This window comes from Homo sapiens, chromosome 20 (genome assembly GCF_000001405.40).
Source record: "Homo sapiens chromosome 20, GRCh38.p14 Primary Assembly".
Classification (NCBI taxonomy): Eukaryota; Metazoa; Chordata; class Mammalia; order Primates; family Hominidae; genus Homo; species Homo sapiens.
The window spans coordinates 822,369-849,336 of NC_000020.11; the positions used below are offsets into that span (position 1 = coordinate 822,369).

At 51.6% G+C, this 26,968-nt stretch overlaps 1 protein-coding gene and 1 pseudogene across 8 annotated transcripts, besides 9 other annotated features; one reads left to right on the plus strand and one right to left on the minus strand.

Moving 5' to 3' along the window:
* Nucleotides 878–1,409: an enhancer, noted in NCBI's record as "H3K4me1 hESC enhancer chr20:803889-804420 (GRCh37/hg19 assembly coordinates)". NCBI's record gives its function as "activates a minimal SCP1, AML or CMV promoter by ChIP-STARR-seq in naive H9 embryonic stem cells {active_cell/tissue: H9 hESC(naive)}" and the evidence as "EXISTENCE:reporter gene assay evidence [ECO:0000049][PMID:30033119]".
* Nucleotides 6,565–7,128: a transcriptional cis regulatory region, noted in NCBI's record as "candidate enhancer chr20.80 targeted for multiplex CRISPR interference". NCBI's record gives its function as "positively regulates FAM110A gene expression in K562 cells {active_cell/tissue: K562}" and the evidence as "EXISTENCE:mutant phenotype evidence [ECO:0000015][PMID:30612741]".
* FAM110A (family with sequence similarity 110 member A) lies at nucleotides 11,347–23,909 on the plus strand. 8 transcript variants are annotated; one of them, NM_001289145.2, is made up of 3 exons: nucleotides 11,347–11,583; nucleotides 17,087–17,195; nucleotides 22,340–23,909. In NM_001289145.2, exon 3 carries the CDS (start codon nucleotides 22,437–22,439, stop codon nucleotides 23,322–23,324), a length of 888 nt encoding a protein of 295 aa, NP_001276074.1. In that variant the 5' UTR covers nucleotides 11,347–11,583; nucleotides 17,087–17,195; nucleotides 22,340–22,436; the 3' UTR covers nucleotides 23,325–23,909. The 8 variants fall into 8 exon arrangements, with proteins under 8 accessions (NP_001276074.1, NP_001035812.1, NP_001276075.1 ...); NM_001042353.3 differs by lacking the exon at nucleotides 17,087–17,195; NM_001289146.2 differs by lacking the exon at nucleotides 17,087–17,195 and having other exon boundaries at nucleotides 22,343–23,909.
* Nucleotides 11,598–11,747: a silencer, noted in NCBI's record as "silent region_12584". NCBI's record gives its function as "represses an Ori minimal core promoter by ATAC-STARR-seq in GM12878 lymphoblastoid cells {active_cell/tissue: GM12878}" and the evidence as "EXISTENCE:reporter gene assay evidence [ECO:0000049][PMID:35858748]".
* Nucleotides 13,264–13,363: an enhancer, noted in NCBI's record as "active region_17445". NCBI's record gives its function as "activates an Ori minimal core promoter by ATAC-STARR-seq in GM12878 lymphoblastoid cells {active_cell/tissue: GM12878}" and the evidence as "EXISTENCE:reporter gene assay evidence [ECO:0000049][PMID:35858748]".
* Nucleotides 17,033–17,647, minus strand: RPS10P5 (ribosomal protein S10 pseudogene 5; annotated as a pseudogene).
* Nucleotides 18,912–19,001: a silencer, noted in NCBI's record as "silent region_12585". NCBI's record gives its function as "represses an Ori minimal core promoter by ATAC-STARR-seq in GM12878 lymphoblastoid cells {active_cell/tissue: GM12878}" and the evidence as "EXISTENCE:reporter gene assay evidence [ECO:0000049][PMID:35858748]".
* Nucleotides 19,598–20,580: an enhancer, noted in NCBI's record as "H3K27ac-H3K4me1 hESC enhancer chr20:822609-823591 (GRCh37/hg19 assembly coordinates)". NCBI's record gives its function as "activates a minimal SCP1, AML or CMV promoter by ChIP-STARR-seq in primed H9 embryonic stem cells {active_cell/tissue: H9 hESC(primed)}" and the evidence as "EXISTENCE:reporter gene assay evidence [ECO:0000049][PMID:30033119]".
* Nucleotides 21,929–22,028: an enhancer, noted in NCBI's record as "active region_17446". NCBI's record gives its function as "activates an Ori minimal core promoter by ATAC-STARR-seq in GM12878 lymphoblastoid cells {active_cell/tissue: GM12878}" and the evidence as "EXISTENCE:reporter gene assay evidence [ECO:0000049][PMID:35858748]".
* Nucleotides 22,134–22,947: an enhancer, noted in NCBI's record as "H3K4me1 hESC enhancer chr20:825145-825958 (GRCh37/hg19 assembly coordinates)". NCBI's record gives its function as "activates a minimal SCP1, AML or CMV promoter by ChIP-STARR-seq in naive H9 embryonic stem cells {active_cell/tissue: H9 hESC(naive)}" and the evidence as "EXISTENCE:reporter gene assay evidence [ECO:0000049][PMID:30033119]".
* Nucleotides 24,176–24,235: an enhancer, noted in NCBI's record as "active region_17447". NCBI's record gives its function as "activates an Ori minimal core promoter by ATAC-STARR-seq in GM12878 lymphoblastoid cells {active_cell/tissue: GM12878}" and the evidence as "EXISTENCE:reporter gene assay evidence [ECO:0000049][PMID:35858748]".

Here is a 26,968-nt window from a genome sequence, read left to right on the forward strand (position 1 = left end):
GGCTGGTCTCGAACTCCTGACCTCTCAGGTGATTCACCCACCTCAGCCTCCCAAAGTGCTGGGATTACAGGCATGAGCCACCGTGCCTGGCTCATTTACTCACAAATATTTACTGAGCACCTACTATGTCCCAAGCAGTATTCTAGGCACTGGAAATGGGGCAAGGCTGCTGCCTCTGTGGAACTTATACTGGGGTGTGGGAGGCAAAGAAAAACAAGCAAACATACATATGAAATAATTTAAGATGCCACTCGTGGTGGGAGGGACTGACAGGAGCTGCTGTGGAAGAGAGCATTAGGAGGGCCTTGCTGAGGGGTGACTTTATTTCAGCTGAGAGGTGGATGAGAAGGCACCTGCAGGGGAAGAAGAACCAGGGGAAGGGTGTTCCTGATGGAGCAACAGCCTGTGCTAAGGCCCCAAAGTGAGCACCAGCTGGGCGCTGAGGGACAGAACCAGGCACAGGCTCGGTTAGAGGAGGTCTGAGGTCCCAGAGGAGACAAGAGAGGGGAAGGATGGGAGGGCAGGCCTGAGCCGCAGAAGGCCAGTGGAAGGTTCTGAGTGGGAAGAGGATGGGATAGGAGTTATATTCTGAAAGGTCCGCCTGTGCTGGGTGGAGGATGGGTGGGGACAGGCAGGAGCAGCCCAGGCTCTGATGCAGCCTCCAGGCAGAGATGGACCAGGGGAGCCCATTTCATATCCGGCCCCTGTGGAGGGTCTGAGGGTGTTGAGCAGACAGGCCCTGGCTTTGGAAGTCCTGGGTGTCTGGACCCGCCTGCCTGTGGGGCCCCAGCAGAGAGGAAGGGAGGCGGGGCTCCCAGTGCCTGTTGACTCATTTGCATCTGATTTGCATGTGAAGCAGAGAGTCAGGTTGAAAGCTGGGAAGGCCTGTGCCAGCCCTGGGTAGAGGGTCTTGGGTGTTAGTTCCCACAAAGACTCTGTCCCAGGCCATGACCTTCCTGTTCAGGAGGGGCTCTGCCTTCCCTTGCCTCCAACGCCCCTCTGGCCTGGCCCTGCCATCTGGGGCTGGGCAGTGCCCACGGGGACAAGGTCGTTTCCTTTTAGGAGAGGTCTGCATGCTATGAGGACAAAGGCCAAATCCCCACCCTCGGGAACCTCCTTCCCCAGCAAAATCCCATCTGTCAGGCTCAGCCTCTGACCTTCGACCTCTCTGTCAGCACAGGCTGCAGTGTTGGGGAGGGGAGGGTCCCCACCCCCAACCCTAGGGGAGACCCAAACCTCTCCCCCCAGCCTTCTCCATCTGTCCCCTTCGGCTTCTGCCACCTGCTCCGTGTGATCCAGGCCAGGTCACCTCCGCTTTCTGGGCCTTGGTTCCCCCACGTGTCCAATGTGGGTTTCCCAAATACCAGTGACTTGTGTCAGTCCACTTTTGTAATTGTAGCCAACTCCACTTACTATTTCTTAAGTGAACTTACTCTCCTTCACTTAAATAGATTTAATTTAAAAAGAAATGTTATACCAGCTCTGTAAATGGAAAACCAGTTTCATCTGCCACAAGTAGAAACATAATAGGAAAAAATAATGAAATGGAAATAAAACAATGTTACTCTAGTCTAGCCTCAAGTGAAAAAAGTCAGACACAAAAGGTTACATTTATATGATTGTCTAGAAAATGCAAAACTAGAGAGAAAGAAAACAGACCACTGGTTGCCAGGGTTGGGGAGAGGGAGCTGACAATATCAAGGGGTGCAGAAACTTTTTAGGGTGATCCAAACTGTTTTTTGATGATGATGGTGGTTACAGATTGTATACATTTGCCAAAAATCACCAAAGTGTACATTCAAAGTTGGTGAGTTTTATTTTATGTATAAACCACCTCAAAAAGACAAATTTTAGAGAAGAAAACAAAGAAAAATGCCGGTTTAGCCCCAAGTCTGAGGCTTCCTCTCTGTTAAACAAATTAGCAAATAGAAGGCCAGGCATGGTGGCTCATGCCTGTAATCCCAGCACTTTGGGAGGCTGAGGCAGGAGGATCACTTGAGGTCAGGAGTTCAAGACCAGCCATGGCCAACATGGTGAAATCCTGTCTCTACAAAAAATACAAAAATTAGCTGGGCGTGGTGGCGCATGCTTGTAATTCCAGCTACTCAGGAGGCTGAGGCAGGAGAATTGCTTGAACCTGGGAGGCGGTTGCAGTGAGCCGAGATTGCACCACCGCACTCCACCCTGAGTAACAGAGCAAGAGACTCCATCTCAAAAAACAAACAAACAAACAAGGAAGAGAAAGAGGGATTTCTCTCTCTGTCTCTCACCAACTCTCTAACCCTCCCTAGTTCCATGCACCAAGGAAAAGCTATGTGAGGACATAGGAGAAGGTGGCCAGCCACAGGCCAAGAAGAGAGCCTTCACCAGGGACTGAATCAGCTGGCACCTCCATCTGGTACCTCTAGGCTCCAGAGCTGTGAGAAATAGATGTGTGCTGTTTGAGCCACATAGTCTCTGATATTTTGTTTTGGCAGCCGGAGCAGACTCATGCCCTCTGATCTCATCATTAGCATAATGCCTGTTTATAGAACCATGCTGTGGGCAGGCTCTGTGCTAAAAGCTTTGCCAGCATCATTTCAGAGACTTGATGTGACATCTTACATCGTAGGGGAAATTATTGTTCCCATTAAAGATGGGCCCACAGTGTGGCTAAGCCAGTGGGGCATGTCCTCAGACCTGGAGTGCTCCCATAGGAAGCTGGGCCCGATTCTTTCTGAAGGTGTGAGCTGGAGGCAGTGATGGTGGTTTGAGAGGCACGGGCTGTGGGGAACTGGATACTGAGGGCAGTCCCTGTGTCCCAGGGGAAGCACTCTGTGCTTTCAAGGGGGGCACTGGCAGAGAAGGAAGTGTCCCTCATCACATCCTGGAGACCCACCCTCTGGAGACAGTGTTTTCACGATTTCTTTTCTTTCTTTTTTTTTTCAGACAGGGTCTCACTCTGTCACCCAGGCTAGAGTGCAGTGGCACGATCTCAGCTCACTGCAACCTCTGCCTTCTAGGTTCAAGTAATTCTCCTACCTCAGCCTCCTGAGTAGCTGGGATTACAGGCACCCGCCACCACGCCCAGCTCATTTTTATTTTTTTATTTTTCGTAGAGACAGGGTTTCACCACGTTGGCCAGGCTGGTGTCAAACTCCTGACCTCAAATGATCTGCTTGCTTTGGCCTCCCAAAGTGCTGGGATTACAGGCATGAGCCATCATGCCTGGCCATGTTTTCACTATTTCTATGGACCGTTTCATAAGTGTTGTGTGGACATAGGGCTCCAGGGTTAAATGTGTTTGGGAAATGTGGTGTAAGCAAAGAGAAAGAAGTTTCCACTCTAATACTTCTCAGAGACTTTAATGTGGAGATAGGCATGGCGAATCTCTCACTGCGGGACAAGTGGGCAAGAGAAGTGTGGATGCTGCCTTCTGGGCACTCACAGTTGGTGGAGGAGACAGCCAACATGCAAGCAGGGGCCACACCACATGTCTGGAGGTTGGAACGCTATGCAGAGAGACCACAGGAACCATGGGGGAAGTGGGGAGGGATTTCCCAGAGGAGATGACATTTGAACAAAGATGCAAAGGAAGTGTGGAAGGAGGTAAGGGAGAGCTGTATGACTGTCTGGGGGAAGAGAAACCCAAGCAGAGGGAACAGCAAGCACAAAGGTTCTGAGGCTCAAGGTTGCTTGGTGCATTTGACAAGCAGACCAGCGCCATTGGCTGGAGCTAGCTGGGCCGAGTGGGAGGGTGATAATGGATGAGGTTGACCACGGTCCGCTCCCAAAGGCCATGGAATTCAGAGCATACTGGAGAGCCCTTAGTGGGTTTGGACAGACAGTGATACCTTGGGACACACAGCCTCATGAGCTCATACTGACCAAACAAACCACCCAAAATAGCAGCAGAAACAACAGCCACAGGGTGCAGAGGGTCATTCAGGGTGCCTCTCACAAGCCTGGGAAGTAGGCATGTGATATGGTTTGGCTGTGTCCCCACCCAAATCTCATCTTGTTTTGTAACTGCTTCAATTCCCATGTGTCGTGGGAGGAACCCGGTAGGGGGTGATTGAACTGTGGGGGCAGGTCTTTCCTGCGCTGTTCTTGTGATAGTGAAAATGGGTCTCACGAGATCTGATGGTTATAAAAATCGGAGTTTCCCTGCACAGGCTCTCTTTTTTGCCTGCCGCCATCCACGTAAGATGTGACTTACTCCTCCTTGCCTTCGGTCATGATTGTGAGGCCTCCACAGCCTTGTGGAAGTCCATTAAACTTCTTTCATTTGTAAATTGCCCAGTCTCGGGTATGTTTTTATCAACAGCGTGAAAACGAACTAATACAGCACGGTTAACTCCCATTTTACAGGCGAGGAAGCTGAAGCTTAGAAAGATGAAAGAATTTGCTTGTGACCCCGAACGTTCCCTCTGGCTGATGCATTGTTCCTACCTGCTCTGTTTCCTTGTTTATGAAGCTTGCAGGCTCCATGGTCCTCAACCCTGGCTGCTACACACTGGAATAACCTGGGGTGGCAGACTGTGTCTCCCCAGGATGGCCACACCAATACATCTCACATCCCACATGCTTGGCCAATAGCATATGACAGATGTGACTGTGGGTTACTTCTAAAGCTAGGCCATAATAGCCATCGCAACCCCACCGTGATCTCTGGGATTGCTAGTTCTGAGGGAAGCCAGCTGCCATGTCCTGAGGTTACTCAAGAAGCCCTGTGGAGTAGGCCATTTGGGGAGGGACTGAGGCCCCCAGGCAACATCTGTCCCAACTTGCCAGTCATGTTAGTGAACTACCCTTGTCCAGCCTTCAGATGACACCTCATGAGAGGCCCTGAGAGAGTCTTATTGTCCCGTTCACCATTCCTGTTGCCCTGTGGCCAGCTAATCAGCTTGTGGTGGTTTTCATTTCTTTTTTCTTTTTGCCATTAATAGCAATGCCAGGCTGGGCTCAGTGGCTCATGCCTGTAATCCCAGCACTTTGGGAGGCCGAGGTGGGTGGATCACCTGAGGTCAGAAGTTTGAGACAAGCCTGGCTAACATGGTGAAACCCTGTCTCTATTAAAAATACAAAAATTAGCCAGGTGTGATGGTGTGCGCCTGTAATCCTAGCTACTTCTCCCAAGTAGAAGGGCGTGATTCTTCTCATGCCTCATGCTGAGGCATGAGAATCACTTGAACCCGGGAGGCTGAGGCTGCAGTGAGCGGTGTTTGTGCCACTGCACTTCAGCCTGGGCGACAGAGTGAGACTATCTCAAAAAAAAAAAAAAAAGTAGCAATGCCATAGTAAGTATTCTTCTAATTAAGCCCTTCTGAATCAGCTTAATTATTTGCTTAGGGTCAATTTCTAAATGCACAGTTGCTGGATCAGAGTACAAGTCCACTGATACAGCATTTAATTTTTTCAAAGAATTGTGACTGGGCCGGGCACGGTGGCTCATGCCTATAATCCCAGCACTTTGGGAGGCCAAGGCGGGCGGATCACCTGAGGTTGGGAGTTGGAGACCAGTCTGACCAACATGGAGAAACCCCGTCTCTACTAAAAATACAAAATTAGCTGGGCATGGTGGTGCATGCGTGTAATCCCAGCTACACGGGAGGCTGAGGCAGGAGAATTGCTTGAACCCGGGAGGCAGAGGTTGCGGTGAGCTGAGAGGGTGCCAGCTTGGGCAACAAGAGTGAAACTCCGTCTCAAAAAGAAAAAAAAAAAAAAAAGAATGTGACTATAGCTGGCCGTGGTGGCTCATGCCTGTAATCCCAGCACTGTGGGAGGCAAGATGGTCAGATTGCTTGAGTCAAGGAGTTTCAGACCAGCCTGGGAAACATGGCAAAACCCTGTCTCTACAGAAAAATTAGCTGCGCATGGGGGCAGACACCTGTAGTCCCAGCTACGTGGGAGGCTGAGGTGGGAGCATCACCTGAGCCTGGGAAGTCGAGGCTGTAGTGAGCTGTGTTTGCACCACCGCACTCCAGCCTGGGCAACAGAGTGAGGCCTTGTCTCAAAAAAATTTAAAAAATAAATAAATGTAACTATATTCTCCTTCAGTAGCAACATCTCAATTTACCTTCTCATGCACAGTGTTTGGAAGGACATATTTTGGGATGAGTTTTCTTTTACTTCACTACCTTATTTTGTTCTTTCATAGAATGCCTTTAAAATGTTACTTTAAAAAAATAGATAATACCTTTACAAGGTACAAAATCCAAAAGGTATAAAAATGTTTTCTTTTTTTTTTTGGAGACAGAGTTTCGCTCTTGTCGCCCAGGCTGGAGTGCAATGGTGCGATCTTGGCTCGCTGAAACCTCCGCCTCCCGGGTTTAGGTGATTCTCCTGCCTCAGCCTCCTGAGTAGCTGGAATTACAGGTGCCCACCACCATGCCCTGCTAATTTTTGTATTATTAGTAGAGATGGGGTTTCACCATGTTGGCCAGGCTGGTTTTGACCTCCTGACTTCAGGTGATCCACCCACCTTGGCCTCCCAAAGTACTGGGATCACAGGCATAAGCCACCACGCCCGGCCAAAAATATTTTATAAAAGTCTTTCCCCCACCCCTTTCCCCTCAGTCAGCACAAGTAGCCACCACTGGGACCAGTTTCTGGTGGATAAATCCAGAAAAGTTCAGGTGCAAGTAAACACACATAGAGAGAACACCCTTTAAATTAAATGAAACTAAAGAAAACAGAGCCATAGGTGCACAGGAGACAGAGAGCTGACATCTGGGGCTGATTGCATCTTGGTTTCGAGCTGAGTGGCAAAAATACTGCTAAGGTCAACGTTCTGAAGGAGGCAAAACCCACACGCAGAACCAGCCATAGGCCTGTCAACAAGGCGAGATGTTATCATTGCTCATGTGCTGGGTCAGGATAAGGCCATACAGACCGCCCAGTTCTCTCTGATCTGGGTGTAGTTAATGACAGTTTATCCGCCTTTTTCTTCTCTCTCACCACTCCCCATGGTGGGGGAGGAGAAGGACTGGGAGGACTTGAATACTCTGAATTGGCACCAGGTGCTTAATATAGTCCTGAAAATAGAAGACCAATATGCTGTTGGCACATAAAGATGCCCACAATTCTAGAATCTGAGTGCGCCCAGATGATCTCTCTTTACATGGCCTAATTTGGGATCCTGACAAGTTCCTTCTGCCCTCTGCCTCACTTTCTCAATCTAGGAATGGGCCTCTCGGTTTTTGTTTTGTCTAATTTTAAGCTCTCGGCTGTGCATGGCAGAGGCAAACTTGAAGACGCAAGGGTCAGTGAGCAGGGCCTTTATCCAGGTATCTCAAATATCTCCCAACCCTGATTAAAGTTACATATCTCAGAGAAGAATTTGGTCAACACCATTGTTGTCATTCCTGGTTAATAACAGGGAAGTTGAGGTCTGGGAAGCACCCTAGTGATGTGTTCACATGGCCATGTGCTTCTGTAAAATTTACCAATGTAAGGCATCTTAACCTCATTCTGTTAAAACCACTATCTCCTTTCATTCCAACTTCCCTTTGCATCAGATGATGTTGGGGTTGGTGTGAGCAGTTTGGGCATCTTGCTAAAAGGACCTTAACATTTACTTTGGGTTTAGTGGGATATATTTATATTGTTTCCAGTCACTTTTGTGAAAAATTATTACTAACTGACCTGGTATTGAAATGGCTTCCAGGAATATATCCATACCGAGCATACTGAGCTGACTCAACTTGTCGTGGCATCAAGATTCAGGATCAGAGGTTATATCTCAAGATATATGAATGGTCCTACAGCACTCAGTTCCACAAGACTGTGAAGGAGAGGTTTGAATGTATACACGGAGCCAGCAGCTAGTTTATGGAAAGTATTACAGATGTGTTTGAGACAGGCAGCTAATAAAAAGAATGTTATTTTTCTGCGTTTTGTAACGTTTGTGCAATTTCTCTTTTTTTTTTTTTTTTTTTTGGAGACAAGGTCTTGCTCTGTCATCTAGGCTGGAATGCAGTGGTGAAATCATGGCTTACTGCAGCCTCAACCTCCTGGTCTCAAGCAATCCTCCCTCTCAGCCTCCTGAGTAGCTGGGACTATAGGCACGTGCCACCATGCCTGACTAATTTCTTTTTTCCTTTTTTTTTTTTTTTTTTGAGACGGAGTCTCACTGTCGTCCAGCTTGGAGTGCAGTGGCACAATCTTGACTCACTGCAACCTCTGCCTCCCAGATTCAAGTGATTCTCCTGGCTGAGCCTCCCAAGTAGCTGGGATTACAGGTGCCCACTACCACGTCCAGCTAATTTTTTGTATTTTTAGTAGAGATGAGGTTCTGCCATGTTGTCTAGATTGGTCTCAAACTCCTGAGCTCAGGTGATCCACCAGCCTCGGCCTCCCAAAGTGCTAGGATTACAGGTATGAGCCACCATGCCTGGCCAGCTAATTTCTTTTTAAAATTTTTTTGTAGAGCTGGGGATCTCGCTTTGTTGCCCAGGCTGGTCTGAAGCCCCTGGGCTCAGGCACTCCTTCCACCTCGACCTCCCAAAGTGGTGGGATTACAGGCATGAGCCACCTTATTGTGGTTTCTTGTCTCTTTCTAACCAAATCTTCACTTTATTACTTAATTTCATATCTGTAATTTTTTCTTAAAGAGGTCTCCCTAGGGCTGGACGTGGTGGCTCACGCCTGTAATCCCAGCACTTTGGGAGGCCGAGGTGGGTGGATCGCCTGAGGTCAGGAGTTCAAGACCAGCCTGACCAACATACTGAAACCCTGTCTCTACTAAAAATACAAAAAATTAGCGGGTATGGTGGCGGGCACCTGTAATCCCAGCTACTCAGGAGGCTAAGACAGGAAAATCACTTGAACTTGGGAGGCAGAGGTTGCAGGGAGCTGAGATCGTGCCATTGCATTCCAGCCTGGGCGATAAGAGTGAAACTCTGTCTCAAAAAAAAAAAAAAAAAAAAAAAAAGAAGTCTCCCTAGGCTGAAGCTACCTGCTCAATCTTCTCTTGTGTCTTATAGGATCACAGGATCCCCCTTGCCTTACCTCACTGTTACTCCCAAACAGTTCTCACATGTTTACAAGGGAATGTAACAGAGTGGATCAGAGAATTCATTCTGGATCCAGACCGACCTTAGTTTTCTCATCTATATAATGGGAATAATAGCAGGATCTCTCGCCTTAGATAGTCATGAAGTCCAATGAGATGATGTGTATAAAGCCCTAACACAATGTAGCAGAGGGCACAGGGCCAGGATTGATATTTAGCTGGTCCTCACGGATACAGCAGACTCCCTGTTTATGACAGTGGTTGGCTCTGATTTGGTTGGTGTCCATGCCAGAGTGTACAATCATTATTAGCTATTGATATATTATTAGCTCCCTCCCCTGCCCACCCAGGGGTTTACGCAGTAAGTTCTCAATTATTGGCAATCCAAACAAAGAATAAAAGACACCAGCTGGAATGAAACAGAGAAGCTGGTTCCAAATTGAGCAATTCAGACTGACTGCTATAAAATTTCCTCACCTTAAAGGCCCTTAGAGTTAATTCATTCTAATCCCCCTAAAAATATACTTTTTTGACATGTTCAAGTATTGGAAATTTGGAAAATTCACAAAAACACAAAGAAGAAATTAACTGCTGTGATTATAGATGATTATACACATATACATATGTATTTAATACATATTTATGCTGTACATAGTGTTTTGAAGCATACTGTACTTCAAAAAAATTTGGGAGGGGTGCATTGGCTTATGCCTGTAATCCTAGAAATTCAGGAGGCCAAAGCAGGAGGATCACTTGAGGCCAGGAGTTCTAGACTGGCCTGGGGCAACATAGCGAGACCCGTAGCTTGACATGGTGATGCGGGCCTGTAGTCTTAGTTACTCTGGAGGCTGAGGTGTGAGGATTGCTTCAACCTAGGTTACAGTGAGCTATGATTGCACCACTGCACTCCACCCTGGGCAACAGAGCTAGACCCTGTCTCTAAAAAACATAAATAAACCAATGTTTAATACTTAGCATTTCCCCCTATCTTTAAATATCTTCTAGCTACTTCACTTTTATTTTTATCTTTTTGAGATGATCTCTTGCCCAGGTTGGGGTGCAGTGGCATGATCTCAGCTTACTGCATCCCCCACATCCCAGGTTCAATCTATTCTCCTGCCTCAGCCTCCTGAGTAGCTGGGATTACAGGCATGTGGCACCACGCCTGGCTAATTTTTGTATTTTTAGTAGAGACGAGGTTTCACCACGTTGGCCAGGCTGGTCTTGAACTCCTGACTTCAGGTGATCTGGTCGCCTCAGCCTCCCAAAGTGCTGGGATTACAGGTGTGAGCCACTGCTCCTGGTAGCTACTTCACTTTTAATGGCTGCATAATATTCCTCATCAGAAAGTGGGAAAAATTAGGCTAGGTGGCGTGGCTCATGCCTGTAATCCTAGTACTTTGGGAGGCTGAGTTGGTAGAATTGCTAGAGCTCAGGAGTTTAAGATCAGTCTGGGCAACATGGCAAAACCCCATCCCTACAAAAAATACAGAAAATACCGGGTGTGGTGGTGCACACCTGTAGTCCCAGCTACTTGGGAGGCTGAGGTGGGAAGATTGCTTGACCCCAGGAGATTGAGGCTGCTGTGAGCTGAGATCCTGCCACTGCACTCCAGCCTGGGCGACAGAGTGAGACTCCATCTCAAAAAAAAAAAAAAAAAAAGAAAAGAAAAAGATAAAGAAATAAATAAAGTGTTAATAATTAAAAGTACTTTTAGAGGGTTATGTCATAAGCCTTGACAAGACTTGTTCTGTAAAGCTACCCGGCATGCAAAAAGCTCAATTAAGTTAGCTCCTCCACAGGATGGAATTATATAACCAATCCCTTTCAAGAGGCATTGAAGTTGTTTCCATTATTTTGCTATGATGAATAAGGCTGAGCAATATTAATCTTTGCTCATATCTTTGGTCATTTCCTTTGTAAATTTCGGGACTGCTGGGTATGCACATTTTAAAATTAACTCACTCATCATCATGCAGTTAGGAGAACAGAGAAAGGAAGGGGCTTGCACCGGGTCACATAGGGAGTTAGCGTCAAAGTCAGGACTAGGAACCAGCCAGGGCCCTCTAACTGGAGCTCTTCCAGCTGGGGTCCTAGAGGAAGTCCCAGCTGGCCGCGGGAGGGAGGAGGAGGAAGGGAAAGAACCAGGCGCCGGGGCTGAAGCGGCGGCAGGAAGAAGGTGGGGCCGGCTGGGAGGAGCGGGCGGAGCTGCTGAGCAGCGCCTCTCCTTCGGGCGGGGGAAGCTAAGCGGTCGCCTGGCAACCCTGGCGGCGCGCCGTTCGAACGGAAGCGAGGAACCAATCAGGAAGTCCGGGGCGAACCATTCTGGTGTGAAGGGGGGCGGCGTGCTCACTTCCCCTTCCACGGCGCCCCAGGGACTTTCCCTGCGGTGGGGGCCTTCGACAGTGAGGGCCACCCGCTCAGCTCGACCGCGGAGGGCAGCTCCAAAGGGGACCCCAAAGGTGCCCACGCGGGGCTGGGGCCTCCTGGGCGTCGTTGGGAGCGGCCACTACCGGCCCGGGTCCGAGCTGTCAGCCTCTCCAAAGCCTGCGCGAGAGGAGCCGGGACACGCCTAGCGCGGGCTCCAGGTGAGGGCGCGGGTGGGTCCGGGTGCGACCCCGGGTCTGGGGGCCCCGTTCCCCGAGCGTCTGCTGTCTGCTTTCTCCCCGCGTCGTACCTGCGTGTCATTTCACAGATGAGGACTCTGAGGCTCAGAGAGGCAAGTGTCCCGGCCCGGCGAGCTCTGGCGGAGAATCCAGTTCAAGTCTTTCTGCCCCACCTCGCAGCCCCCTAGTCTAGTCACATCTGGACTTGCCTTGAGAGGCCCAGACGGGCAACTGGTAGTCATTTTCCCAGCGTTTTATCGGCAGGGACCTGTAGACCCCTGGCTGGATCACATATCCCCGCGCCCCACACTGTCCTCGGGATACCCCCTTTGGGCGTCTGTCTTTCCTTCTCCGCAGTCCGGGGTTGGACTCGGCTCATTTGGCGCCTTTCTGTCTACGGGGACAGAGGACCACTCTTTGGGGATCGGACGGGACTGACATTTCTGGGCTGGATGCAGGGGCAGCAGATTCTCCAGCCCCCAGAGCCGCTGCTGGCCTCTTGGGAATCATCCCCAGTTTGGGGAAGGGAATAGAGCCAGTCCCTAAACCAAAGCCACTAGTCACCAGAGACTTTGGAATTGGGAGTGGGGCCGGAATCCCCCCAGGTGGAGCAGCTGACCTAGGCCAGACCCTGCTGTGTCTCCTGGGGACACCCCCTGCCCCCTAGGTTGCTATTGTCAGTCTCCTTTTGTAGGTGGGGAAACGGAGGTTCTAAGAAGTTAAGCCCCTTTTCGAAGTCACAGTCAGACAATGCAGTGGTTAGCTCCTAGTCCCTCTGGCTTCAATCTTAGAATCCTTGACACACAGAATCATGCATTTTGAGAGTCTTCAATCTCTTCATAAGGGAGTTACATATCCTCTCTCCTCTGGAGCCTGCCCCTGGCTTTGGGGGACAGGATCTCCGAGGACTCAGAAAGAAAACAAGGCTTTCTTTTATTCTTTCAACAAATATTATTTATTGACTTCATAAGCCCTGCTCTGGTTCTTGCATGTTTTGGTTTTTTTACTTATTAGCAAATGTATCATCTTCTCCCACTGTGATGCAAGGCAGGGGCTGAGGCAATTGAGCCAGTGCAAAATTTAGGGATGCCCAAAACCTCAGTAATCAAGACTGAAACTAACGTTCATGGACCATTTGTGTGTTCTGCAGGCAGGAGGTTAACTCACACAGCCTTCATGAAGTGCAGTCCTCCCATCTCTCTCTCTCTCTCTCTCTCTCTCTCTCTCTCTCTATATATATATATACACACACACATATATACACACACACATATATGTATATATATGTATGTGTGTATATATGTATATATGTGTATATATATGCATATTTATAAATCATGAAACCACTGCCCTGTCCCTGAGTTGCTCTGTGACATTGAGTAAGTTTCTTCAGTCTCTGGGCTGAGCTAAGAAGTCATGATGGTGCACTCAGGCCTGGGCAGAGGGCAGTCTAGGATAGGAAGTGGGCTTGGCTGTGGATCTGCCTCCCCCTCCCCTTTCTAATCCTGCGTGCCAGGCCCTTCCCCAAGACCTTGCATGTGTTATCTTCCATTCTGTCCTCACTGCAAAATCCTTCATCCCCATTTTGCAACCTCAAGTGCAGACCTAGGCCTAGAAGATCAACTTGGTATCAGTGGGCCTAGATGTCCACATCCACACCCATTCCACAGCCTACTCCCTTCTCCCTTCCTAATGTTAGTGCAAGGCCACCCTGAGCAAGGCTGACTCCTGGGCAGGCCAGGGCACCAGCGTCTGGGAGGCCTCCAGAAATAGCTCAGGGCCTGGTGTGGCTCTGGAGGTGGCCCAGCTGGGTGTCCCTGACCTGGACAGCTGGGCTGAAATTGAGCTGGGGCTGCCCTGCTGGCTGGCCCCTTGCCACTGCCTGGAGCCTTCCCAATCTCCTCTGGGGCAGGCAAGGGCCTCCCCAAATCTAGGCCAGGCTTCTGCTGAAGGGAAAGAAAGAAGCAGGTGGGAGGAAGGGGGCGGGTTGGGTGTAGAATGTCATGAAAATTATAACCTTTGGAAACCACACCTCCCACCCCCTCACCAAAGAATAAAAATCACTAACACCTCTTGAGCATTTACTATGTTCTAAGTACTTTACAAGTATGAACTCATTTAATTCCCTCAACTCTGTGATATAAGGTAATTACTGCTGTTCTTATTTCCATCTTGCAGAGGGGAAACTGAGCACAAGAGAGGTTTAATAATTTGCATAAGATAACCTAGAGGTGGAGTTTGAACCCAGAGAGTCTGGCTCTAAATTTTACATTTTTTGGGGGGGGGGGTGGGGTGGGGCAGTGAATGAATTAAAATGTATATAAAATAAAATTTACCATTGTAACCACTTTTAAGTATACAGTTCAGTGGCATTAAGTACATTCCCCATTGCCTCTCCCCCCAGTGCCTGGCAATCACCATTCTACTTTCTGTTTGAGTGAATTTGACTACTTTGGGTACCTCTAGGTATTATAAATGGAATCATAACAGTATTTGTCTTGTTGTGTCTGGCTTATTTCACTTAGCATAATGCCTTTAAGTTTCACCCATGTTGTTGTATGTGTTAGAATTTTCTTTTTTATGGCGGAATAATCTATTCTAATATTCTATGTATATGCCACATTCTGTTTATCCATTCATTCCTTGATGGACACTTGGATTGCTTTTGGCTGTTGTGACTAATGCTGCTTTGAGCATGAATGTACAAATATCTGTTTGAGTTCCTGTTTTTAATTGTTTTGGGTATACACTCAGAAGTGGAATTGCTGGGTGATCCTATGGCAATTCTGTTTAATTTTTTGAGGAACTACTTTACTGTGTTTCACAGTGACTGCACCATTTTATGTGTCCATCAGCAGTGCACAAAGTGCTAATTTCTCAACATCTTCACCAACACTTGTTATTTTCTGTTTGTATTTTTTTTTTGGTAATGGCCATCTTCAGGGGTGTGATGTGGTGTCTCATTGTGGTTTTAATTTACATTTCCCTAATGACTAATGGTGTTGAGCATCTTTTCCTGTGCCTGTTGGCCATTTGTTATCTTTGGAGAAATGTCTGTTCAAGTGACTCTGCATTGTTTTTTTTTTTTTTTTTTTTTTTTGAGACAAGAGTTTCGCTCTGTCGCCCAGGCTGGAGTGCAGTGGCGCCATCTCGGCTCACTGCAACCTCTGTGTCCCGGGTTCAAATGATTCTCCTGCTTCAGCCTCCTGAGTAGCTGGGATTATAGGCCCCCGCCACCATGCTGGGCTAATTTTTATATTTTTAGTAGAGACGGGGTTTCATCATCTTGGCCAGTCTGGTCTTGAACTCCTGACCTTGTGAACCACCTGCCTCAGCCTCCAAAGTGCTGGGATTACAGGCTTGAGCCACTGCACCCAGTCATGACTCTGCATTCTTAACCATTACCTGTGCTTCTCTTAGATTTGTAACCTCTGAGAATAGTGGATCAGCTTTCTGGGCTGATGAAGCCCTCCCTCAGGAGCTGGGCACTGGATGATCTATTTGGTTGAATAGTTATCATAGCCTGCACTTTGGTGACATTTGTCATGCATGGACCTCATGCAGAGAGGGAGGCACTGTTGTGAGTCCTGTTTTGCAGTTAGGGAAACTGAGATATGGAGAAGTTGAGTATTTTATCCAAGGTCTCATAGCTAATCATTGGTGGAGCTAGGATTTGAATGGGTTCTGGAGTCCATGCTATACCTTACAGATATGGCCAGGGGGATGGAGTAGTGAAGACCACTGCAGGCAGCAGAACCAGTGTGTGCAGAGGTTTGTATATGGTGGCTTTGGAGAAAGAACAGGACTTGGGTAGAAGTGGTCAGAGCCCAGCTTGAATGGGGGTGACTTGAAGTTGGAGGAAGAGTAGGACAGGTCTGGAAAGGCCAGGAGCACGGTGAGGGTTTGGGGAGGAGGCTTGGTGCTTAGGGACCCTGTCCTTTTTTTTTTTTCTCTTCTCACAAGATATTTATTAATTACAAAGGGAAAATAATAACTGTACAGTGGAGAAATTTGGCAGATACTGCCTTAACCAAGGAATTGGCTGATCACTAAGATTAAGACAAACTGTTGTTATGAGTGGGTGTGGTAATGTACCTATAGTCCCAGCCACTCAGGAGGCTGAGGTGGCAGGATTGCTTCAGCCCATCTATTTGAGGCTGCAGTGAGCTATGGAGTGCACTCCAACCTGGGCAACACAGTGAGACCTCATTTCTAAAAAAAGAAAAAAGAAGCCTTCTGATACCATGTACTAAGAAGGACACAACATCACTTTTGTGTTATTCTTGACAGATATGTTTAACTTTCTCTCCTTTCTTTCTTCCTCTCTTTCTTTCTTCTCTCTTTCTTACTGATATAAGAAAAAGCTTTATACATTTAATATATACCTCTTGATGAGTGGCCTTGGCCTTTGAGGTGGGCTGGGTCCAGAACAGCCGGTTGTTCAACGGTATTTCCTCGTGTTTGGTCCCTGAAGGAAGAAAATTGGAAGGGTGTGATGGAGCTCATGGTCCAGTGGGAGAGACAGGAAACGAGTTATATTTCCTATCCTAGATAAGAGTATCTAAAATGACAGGATGTAATGAGTGCTCGGAAGGGAATAAAATGGGTGAAATTGCTGAGGGGGTCTCTTGGAGGAGATGACATTTGAAATGAGATCTGAAGGGGGTGAGGGAAGAGGTTCCAGACAGAGAACAGCTGGTGCAAAAGCCCTGAGGCAGGAAAGACCTTATGTTCAGGAACAGCAGGGAGGGCTTTGTGGCCAGAGCAGGAAAGAGGTTGGAGATAAGATGGGAGATTTGGACAAGGACTGAGTCCTGGAAGGCCTGAGGGCCAAGTGGGGAGCTTGGATTTTTTTTTTTTTTTTTTTTGAGACAGAGTCTTGCTCTGTTGTCCAGGCTGGAGTGCAGTGGCTCAATCTCAGCTCACTGCAGGGAGCTTGGATTTTATTGTAAGGGAGCCACAGGAGGGTTTAAACACAGCAGTAATGAGACTTTATTTCTGCTGGGAAAACATTGCCGTTATTGCCCCCATTTTACAGCAGAGGAAACCGAGACTCAGAACCATGACCAGGGAGTGCTTCCTAAGGTGGTTTCTCCCTCTGGGGTCCAGCCGACGAGGCAGTAGATTCCTTGGGACTTCCTTGGGGGGCACATCTGGTGAGTGGCCAAAGCCCAACACTGAAAACACCGTCTCTTCCACCTCCCCTCCCCAGATGTGAGCCTGGGTTCCAATCCTGGCTCTACCATTAATCAGCTGTGTAATTTTGGGCACGTGGCCTTACCTCTTGGAGCCTCAGTTTTCTCATCTGAAAATGGGCATAATAATAGTAGCCCTCACAGGGTAGGTGTGAGGATTAAATTAGTTAACATTTTGTAGAGCTTAGAACAGTGTCTGGTACAAAGAAAGTGCTCAGATGAGATTTGTTCTTTTCTTTTTTGGCTGTAAGTTTATTCAATGTGAAATAATCCTCTCCAATTTTATTGAGGTGGCTGACCACGTCCACGACCACATCTGCCTCTAAACTGGAATTCGGTTGCTGACCCAGCCCCAGCCTCGGCTTTCTTGTCAGCACCAGGGGGCACAGAACACCGTCTGTAGGTATCTCTGTCAGCTTCCCGTCTTGTGAGTCTTGCAGGTCGCTTACCCTCCAGACCTTTAGGCCGAGGCCTGCCAGTCTCTGGACGGCTGCGGTGTAGGGTGGCAGGAACAATCTCCGGGGGCAGATGTAGGGTGGCAGGAACAATCTCTGGGGGCAGATGAAGGTAATCACGGAGATACTGGCTACCCTCATTGGTAAGGTACCAGTAGAAATGTCTCCAGGCAAACTGTTCCTTCACGCAGCCCCGGGACTTGAGAGACTGCATGGCCTTCATGACGTGAAGGTTGGGCACATTCTTGTCTGCCAGCTCCGGGTGCTTAGGCATGTGGACATCCTTCTTGGCCACCATGACTCCCTCCTTAAAAAGGAGTTCATGAATGGCAATCCGGTTCTTCTTAGGCATCAGCATCTTGGCAGCTGTAGGGTCCGGGGCTGGGGCTGGAAAGGAAGGACTGTTCTTTTCTTTGCTATTACGAAAATCATTATTGTTGCTTTGCTGTTACTACTATTAGCGCCTGAAGGAGCCTTCCCTCCCCATCCCCCATTTCTGCCTCCGTGGAGGGCTAGGCAGGGCTCAGCAGGCCATTTGGAGGATGAAGGACTTGTTGCCCCGTCCCCTGTAAAGTCAGGGACTGGAGGAGGCTGCAGTGCTGAGGGGGAAGGAAAGCTGATGTGCATCACTGCCGGTCTCCTCATGCCCTGTACCCTAGTCCTGGCCCAGCTCCCACAGGCACAGACATGGAACAGGAGCCTCTTCAGCCTGAGTGTGGCAGAGGGCTGGGGCTGAGGCCTGGGGGACAGCTCCTTCTCTGGGCCTCAGGATTCCCATGAAAAAATGGCCTATCAAATGTTCCTACCTGCAGTGAGTTATAGGACTTGGGGTGGAAGAGGTGACAGTCACCTCCCTCTGGGAATTCCTTCCTGCAGGGCTGCAGTCTCATGGGATTAAATGAGGGGGCTCTGGGGATTTAAATGAGTATGGTGCCTGGCACCCCAAAATTCTAGTTATTGTTGTTACTATGACGGCTGTTGTTGCCGATGTTAACCGTTTTCACAAGGCAGCTGAGGCATGCTCAGGCTCAGCCTGTTCCAGAGGGATGGACTCTACACGTGACAGCATGGAGCACCAGGAGGGTCCCGCAGCCTGGTCAGGGACACACAGCTAGAAAGTGGTGGCGTTAAGCCTTGGTCTGGAGGGAAAGTGCGCAGGCTGGACTCCCCAGAGTGATTTTGGGCTAGTGACTCAGCCTCTCTCAGCCTCAGTTTACCATTAGTCAAATGGGGTAACAATAGAACTCACCAGATAGTGATTGTTGGGAAGATTAAAATGGGTTACCCGATACCAAGAAAAACACTTTCCCGTGCCTGGCACAGTGAACATCACCTGGCGGTCGTTCTGAGTGTCAGGGAGCGGGGCTCAGTTTGTCCATCTCTAAGGTGGGTGCGCTTGCCTGCCAGAGCCACGGGGACCCCGCGCGCCAGGTGTGCGGTGGGCGGGTCTCGGCTCCCGGAAGAACTTCCCTGGGTGGTCCTGGAGCGGGTCGGACCCAGTTCCTGAGCCAGGCCAGCTGCCGGCGGCCGGGGCTCGGGTTCTGGCCCCTGCCTGGCTTTCCTTACCCTTTTCGGGTAGTACCTGGACCAGCGGGTTCACTTGCCCGCGGCCGCCGGAAGTTGCGCAAACTCAGCTTGCCGGAGCCCCAGGTGGGCCGGGCCGGAGGAGCGCAGGCCAGCGGCGCGGGCGCAGCCGGGTACGTGCGGACCGCGGCGGGGGGCGCCCAGCCGGGGTAGGGGGCGGCCCGAGCACCCCTCCACCCCAGGACGGCGGGAACGGGGCAGGGATCTACCTTTCGGCTTCAAGAGGACCGCGGGGATGGTGCCGCTCTCTCCCTCATTTGAGAGCCAGGAGGGGCGGCGAGGGGCAAGGGTCACACAGCGCCCTGCTAGCCGACCCCCCATCCCCCGCCACCGGGAGTCCTCAAGCTTTTCCGGAATTGAGGGAGAGCAAAAGCCAGCCTGGGGATCTGAGTTCCCCCCAGCCCTGCCCCGCGGCCTCTGGAGGCTGACGCTGGGGAGCTAGTGGGGAGGGGGCCAGGTGGGGATGCGCGCCCCCGGGATGCAAGCCAGAAGGGCCGGCGGTTGGGGGCATCCGTGGGAGGCATTTGAATCCGTGGGTGGGGCATTGGGCGGTGAGAGGAGGCCTCAGAGGGGACATTGAGTCGCGCTTGGGGACTTGGGACCCTGGCTTCACCTGGCGGGAGCCGCTGCACCTCCGTTTGCCCACCCGTGACGTGGGGCTGTTGAGGTCAGCTCACCGATCAGCCTCTGTCTTGGGCCTGCTTTGTCCGCGGTGTGGGCTGGGACAGACCCTCGTGGGGCTTGCTTAGAGACCCCTGCGTGGGGGTGGTCTGTGGACTTGGTTAGTCGAAATCTTCTTGAAGACCAGGAGCCTGGTTCGTGGCTCCGCCTTTTTGCCAGATGCCGAGGAAAGCCCTCGACCTGTTTGATCTCTCCATCCTTATCGTGACCTGGAGGCTCAGGAAGGTCTATTTTTAACCTCGTTTCACGGATAAGGTAACCGAGTCTGTAAAGAGGCGAAGCTGCTTGCGCAAGGCGCACAGCGGGCGGGTGGGCGAGCCGAAGGCCGGCGGGCCCGCGGCGCCAAACCCGGGGTTGGCTCTCGCATCTGTCCCGGCCCCGCCAGAGGGGACCTCAGGGCCAGCAGATGGGGCCAGAGGGGCTGGGGGCCCGATCGGGGTCGTGCACGGGGTTTCTGCCCCGGCCCCGCCCGTCTGACCTCCTTCTCCCTCTTTATCCGGATGGTGCCCGCAAGGGAACTGCCACTGCGGACGGGTTGGACTGGTTTGGGAGGTGGCGGCCTGGGGGTGGGGCAGAGTTTGGCTGGCTCTGCTGTGCTCCTTTCCTGTCAGGTCCTTCCCACCTGAGGTCTCCTGGGGGTCGGCCCTGGTGGAGCGAGGCTTCCTTTCCCATCCACTCCATCTCTCCTGCCTTGGGAGCAGCACCCAAGGATCTATTCCCAACTCATGGCTGCTGCAGAGGTCTCCAGCTGGTGGTTGGGGGCCAGATGGAGGAGGAGGGGACAGATATGTTCGCAGACATATTTTGTTTGCTGTATATGCAATGTTTTAATCATTATTATCGAATATGCTGACAGTTAAGAATCTAGAGTTTTTATGTACTCCTGGATTTCCAGCTTCCTGGAACAATACACCTACCACCTTGGACCCATATGCCTGCAGCAGGCAGGGTACCTAGATGTCTAGTTCATCCCTGATCACCCAGTTCACATCTGGCTCCCATAAATATTTCAGTTCAATAAATTTTTATTGAATATTCTGCCCTAGTATGTGTCTAGGGCAGTATCTTGAAACTGGGGTATAGTGAACAAAATAGCCAACCCCCGCCCCTACACACACACGCCTGCCCTCATGGAGCTGATATTTTAGGGGGATAGAGACAACAAAGAGTAAAACAACCATACACAAATAGAGTACTTGTGCAGGGGATAAGGAGAAAAGGAATAGTGCCGGGAGGGGGTCAGGAGTGCCGGGGAGAAACAGGACGTGGTATTGAGATCAGTGCCTTATTTATCTATTCTGGGACCTGGGAAAGCCACTTCTCTGAGTCTCAGTTTCTCCATCTGCACAACGACCCACAGGCTTGTGGGAGGTTATAGGGAGGATGGCACCCAGCAGAGATCCCTGCCTCCCCACCCCAATCCAGACTCACTCCCTTCTGGATTTTTGGATGTCTAGGTGGGGCTGTCCAATGTAGCTTCCTACCATGGATGGAAATGCTGTACTCTGTGCTGCCAAACACAGTGGCAACTGGCCACATGTGGCTATTGAGAACTTGAAATGCCACTAGTGTAGCTCAGGAACTGAATTTTATGTTTTTATTTCATTTAAATTTAAAGTTAAGGTTGAATAGCCACATGTGGCTGCTGGCTATTGAGCTGGACAGCACGGGTCTAGATGGCTTGAACTGTAAGCCTTCTTGGGGAACACCCAGATTAAGTACCCGCCCCCTCCATTTTACAGATGAGAATGTTTGGGACTTGGTATGTGGGTTTTCTTCTGTCCCATCTCCAAGGGGCCTTGTGGGGTGACTCTGTGGGCTTGGCCCTTCCTTGGAAACAGGGTCAGGGTTGGCTTGATGTCTGGGGCATCAGGTCCTGACACTTGGGTGACCACGTAGACACTTGTGCATCCAGGTGTATGCCCTCCTCCCAGGTGAGTACCCATTCCATGGCTGCAGGCAGATCGAGGGTCTGCCGGATGCCTCCATGCAGGGCTGTGTGATTTTGGACATTTCCAGCTTCTCTCAGCACAGCATAGCTCAGGGCTGATGTTTCCACGTGACAGGCATTTGTGGATCACCGTGGGCCATCCAGTTCCATGCAGGAAGCTGACGGATGTCTGGACTCCACTGGGGCGCGGGTGGAGATTTTCTTTGCTCCTTCCCTATAAGCTCTGCCCTTTGCCTGGGGCCTGGCATGTCTAGGCGGGTGGATGGCACAGGGCAGCTTCCTGCCTGGATGGGTGAGGGGTAGAGGTGGTACCAGGCTCCCTGTGGGGAGTCCAGGTGGGGTGTGGGGCTGGAGCCCTTTTTCTTGGTCATTTAACCCTACGCCCCGGTGCCAGCACCTTCCTTTTTGGTGGTCAGGGGCAGAGCCACCTACTCGCTGGGTTAACTTAAGCAAGTTGTTTGCCTCTCTGGGCTTCAGTTTCTCCATCCAAAAAACGGGGCTGTTGAGAGGACCTGAGGTTGAGTTGACTGGTGCGTAGCACAGAGCCTGGAGCCTCCCTTGCTCCCTTTAGCGCGTGCCTTGCCCTGTCTTTTCTGCTCAGGTTGCCCAGGTCGCCCAGGTCTTTTTTCTCTAGCACCTTTTTTCCTCTCTTGGTCTCAGCTGGGCCTGGTTCTCCCGGGGCAGGAGGGAGGGGGTGTGGGTGGGGCCTGAGGCCCCGCAGCTGCTGCCTTGTGCCTGCTGATTGGCTCCTTGTGGAGGGGCGTGGTCTCTACCTTATAATAGGGAGGGCGTCTTATCCTCTCAGCCGCGGCTGAGCCTCTTTGTCTGAGCGCGCTCGGCTTTTTTTTTTTTTTCTCTCTCCTTCCCTGCAGCAGTGGCCGGTGTCCAGCTGCCTACTTTCTGCCCGGATCTCTGGCTCCTCATCTCTCCGGTCTCCGCAGACTAAAGCCCTCGGGATATGCAGCAGCCATGCCTGTGCACACGCTGAGCCCCGGAGCCCCGTCCGCCCCCGCCCTACCTTGCCGCCTGCGGACCAGGGTCCCTGGCTACCTGCTACGGGGGCCGGCAGATGGTGGAGCCCGGAAACCGAGCGCTGTGGAGCGCCTGGAGGCCGACAAGGCCAAGTACGTCAAGAGCCTGCACGTGGCCAACACCCGCCAGGAGCCTGTGCAGCCCCTGCTGTCCAAACAGCCGCTCTTTAGCCCTGAGACTCGCCGCACAGTGCTCACGCCCAGCCGCCGAGCCCTGCCTGGCCCCTGCCGACGGCCCCAGCTGGACCTGGACATCCTCAGCAGCCTCATCGACTTGTGTGACAGCCCCGTGTCCCCTGCCGAGGCCAGCCGCACTCCTGGACGGGCCGAGGGAGCCGGCCGTCCTCCCCCAGCCACCCCTCCGCGACCGCCGCCCAGTACCTCTGCGGTCCGCCGGGTGGACGTCCGCCCCCTGCCCGCCTCGCCTGCCCGGCCCTGCCCATCACCCGGCCCTGCCGCCGCCTCCAGCCCAGCCCGGCCGCCGGGTTTGCAACGCTCCAAGTCGGACTTGAGCGAGCGCTTTTCTAGGGCAGCCGCTGATCTCGAGCGCTTTTTTAACTTCTGCGGCCTGGACCCGGAGGAGGCGAGAGGGTTGGGTGTGGCCCACCTGGCACGGGCCAGCTCGGATATCGTGTCCCTGGCAGGGCCCAGTGCTGGGCCGGGCAGCTCTGAAGGGGGCTGCTCCCGCCGCAGCTCGGTGACTGTTGAGGAGCGGGCCCGGGAGCGCGTTCCCTATGGCGTGTCGGTGGTGGAGCGCAATGCCCGCGTGATCAAGTGGTTGTATGGGCTAAGGCAGGCTCGGGAGAGCCCAGCAGCTGAAGGCTAGGCGCCACTGGGCCTGGAATTCGCCACAGGACGGATCTTACAGAGGCAAGTGGTCCCTGGACCTCTCTTGCATCCATTCTCTAGACGGCCGTGTCAGAGGCTCCACCCTGTTGTGAACTTGGTATGGAGGCAAAGGCTTAGAGGCTGGACCAGCATTGTTGGGCAAGGACTGACTCTCCAAGGGTTTTGTTCTTGGCTTTGGACACCTGAGAACCCCCTCCTCCCCTCCCCCAATACAAGGTTTTTGACATGAGTGTACTCCTGCTTAGTTCCTCTTGTGGGGCTGCATTTGCGGTGCTTTGCCCTCCCCACTGTGAGTGAGGGGCCAAGGGATCTCCTCAATCCTGTCTCCCCAGCGGCTCTGTTTCCTCCTTCCTTCCTTGGCCTCTGTCCTTTGCTGACTTCCTCTTCCTTACCCAGCAGAACTCACCCTGGGGTCGGGGCAGTGGGGAGGGGCCTATCCACTGCTCTTCCTAGTCCTTGGCAGCTGGCCTAGGTGGGCAGACTATAGGAGGGACTGGTTAGGAGTCTGCATTGCTTTGACTTCCCTCTCCTTGGTTAATAAACACAAATGCTTGTTTCTCAAGGGCTGGGCCTTCAGACTCTTCTGTGTTCACAAGAGAAAGGGTGAGAGAAGTCTTGGGGTGGGGCCATCAAAACAGTAATTGTTCACCCCGAGGTCTAGTGGTGGGGCATGATGATAGCGGCTGGCCTGGCTGGAGACATGTCCCCGTGGTGGGTTCTCATAACTCTCCTGGAAGGCTAGCAGGCCTGCCTCATCGAGGAGGAAACTGAGATCCAGCCATGAGTGAGCTGGAATAGAGCTGGGAGTAGGAATGGGGTCTTTCCCCTGCACCAGAAAGGGAGCCTGCAGGGGAAAGGCCGATGGGGTGCATAGACTCTCCCCAACCAGGAGTGTTCCATCCAAGCCCTGCCCAGTTCCCAAGGGGGCAGGAAGCTCGGAGAGGGCAAATCCTGAACTTGAGGTCACACAGACCATAGAGTGAGGATGAGAAGTGGGAGTTTTGGAGGAAGAGAGACTTGGGGTGGACGGCACAAAATGAGTGGCCTCCCTGGCGATCTTGGACAAGCCAGTTTCCCTCTGGGCCTCAGTGGGAGAGTTAGGCAGCACAGTCCTCCTTGGGTTGGGGCACTGGTGCATTCTGGGCCCTTCATGCTATATTCCAATACCTGGGGAGAGGGGAAGGAAGGGGCTGGCACTGGGCTTCGAGGCCTCAGCTTCTTCCAGTCTCCCTCCAGGTCAGTTACCTACTAGGACACCCCACCTTGGCTAGTGGAGCAGCTAGGGCTAGAGCTGGGCCTACAAAGGGCGAAAGCGGGGGTGGCCTCTCTGGTGCCCCACGGTGGGCGTGGAGAGGGGGTGGGTGGCGCTTCCTTTCACAGGCTGCCTTGGCTGCAGCACTCAGAAACAGGAAGCTCTAATGGGGGCCCTGGTGACAGGTTTGATGTAGGTTTTATTTTAAGCATAAAGAGGAGATTTCCGTTGGACTGTTGACAAACATCCACATCAGCCCAGCTGTCCATCTCTCTGTCTGTCTGCCTGTCTACAACTAGCCCCCAGGGGCCTGGGATGGGCCTGGGCAGTTTGGGGAAGGAAGGGAAAATTGGGTTCTAGAAGAAGATGGTGTTCCAGCTCATGAGACTGGAGCTCATGATACTGGTGGGGAGACAAGCATGAGGAGGGTGGTGACCTACCCACAACCCCCCATGGTGCCCAGCAGTTTTGACAATGCAGGAGCTGGGCCTCCAGGGTCCCCATGCTGAAGGAGTGATGGTGTCAGGAGAGAGAATCCAGGCAGGATCTGCAGACGTGGTGCCCTTTGAGGTGTCAAAGACTAGATTTCCTAGGCAACCCTGCTAGAATTCAGGGCTAGTCATTGCCCCTTGCTGTGACCTGGCAGCCTCCGAGTAACCCAAGAAGGTGGATGGGCTGGCTGCATTTTACATGTGAAGAAATTGAGGTTCAGGTCACAGGACTGGTGGGTGACACCTTGTTTCTGAAGGAGGGTACAGTGCTTGAATCCTCAAGGTAGCCTTTTGAGGACCAGATATATTGTCAGAGCAGGAGGTTGAGCTCAGGGAAGGATAGCGACTTGTATACTGTCACATAGCAGGTCTGCAGGACAGCCTGGGGTCACACTCTTGCCTGCCAGACACATCGCAGTCTGGATTCCTGGTTCTCCCAGCATGTACCCCACCACTCTTCCTCATCTTGGCAGCCTTTTCTTCTGGTCACTTTATTACTGAGCATCTACTGGGTGCCCAGCAGTGGATAAGACAGACATGGCCCCTGTCCTAGTCTGGAGAAGAGAATGGGCAACTAAACATTCAGCACATAAATAATCATAGAATGTAAAGCAGGTATACTTAGGGACTTCTGCCCTAAAACCAGAGCTGTTCCCAGGAGCTGGACCAGGGGATAGCTGAAAAGAGAACGCCTTTCCATAAATCCACTGGGAGGGTCTGTTGGGGAGAGAGCAGGGAGGGATTCTTGGAAGTGGGGAAGGTGCCAGATTGAGTCTTCTCCAATGGTTATGGCTTGGTCTTGGGAGGGCTCCCCCTGTTCCAGGATTCTGGAGCCTCCCGCCTTCCCTGCAGGCCTCTGTGGAGGGAGCAGGGCGGGGGGCTTTTGCACTCCTCCCTCCCCCAACCCTGCAGCCTTGGGGATCTGTGGAAACAGCCCCTCTATTGTTCTGCCTCCAGTTGGAGTGTGAGCCCTCGGAGGGCCTGCAGCTGCTGCCCTGTCTCCTGGGGCTGCCCAGCCCTCCGAAGCAGCTCCCCCAGGCCAGCCTGGCCCCAGCTGCCTAGCCCCTAATTAGGCAGAGATGGGATCTGCTCTCTGATCCATTTCCCACCAGCTAATTATATACACGTGGATTTGGGAACCAGGCAACCTGGCTGCTCACTTCTATCATGAAGGTGGATGGGCCCTGGGAAAGGCAGCCCCCCCCCCACAGACCTCAGTTTACCCTTTTGGCAGAGGATGGAGTGTAGCTGCAGAGGCCTGTTCCCTGTCCTTGGTTAAATAGTTCTGTTCCTGCTACTGAAACATTTAAGGAGACCCCCCACCCCCATCTTACCTGATATCCTGTGTACAGGGGACCAGGAAAGGGTTGAGGAATTTGGCTATAGGTCCTTGACTCTAGGACCCCAGGGTAGGGTCATAGGATATAGATGAGAGCATGGCTGCAGCTGGCTGCCAATTAGATGTGCATATAGGAGGGCTTACAGTTGTGCTGGTCCATCTGGGTGGCCTGAACACCCGGCCGGGTGCGGTGGCTCACGTCTGTAATCCCAGCACTTTGGGAGGCCAAGGCAGGCGGATCACTTGAAACCAGGAGTTTGAGACCAGCCTGGACAACGTGGTGAAATCCCGTCTCTACTAAAAATACAAAAATTAGCTAGGCATAGTGGCGGACACCTATAATCCCAGCTACTTGGGAGGCTGAGGCATGAGATTCGCTTGAACCCTGGAGGTGGAGGTTGCAGTGAGCCAATATCATAGCACTGCCCTCCAGCCTGGGTGACAAAGAAAGACTCCCTCTCAAAAAAAAAAAAAAAGGAGTGAACACCCCATCCAGGTTTTTAAAAAGGTAATATTGGTTGATGGGTACAGCAAACCAC

Coding starts and splice junctions, on each gene's coding strand:
- FAM110A (NM_001289145.2), top strand. CDS start 22,437: ATGCCTGTGCACACGCTGAGCCCCGGAGCCCCGTCCGCCCCCGCCCTA.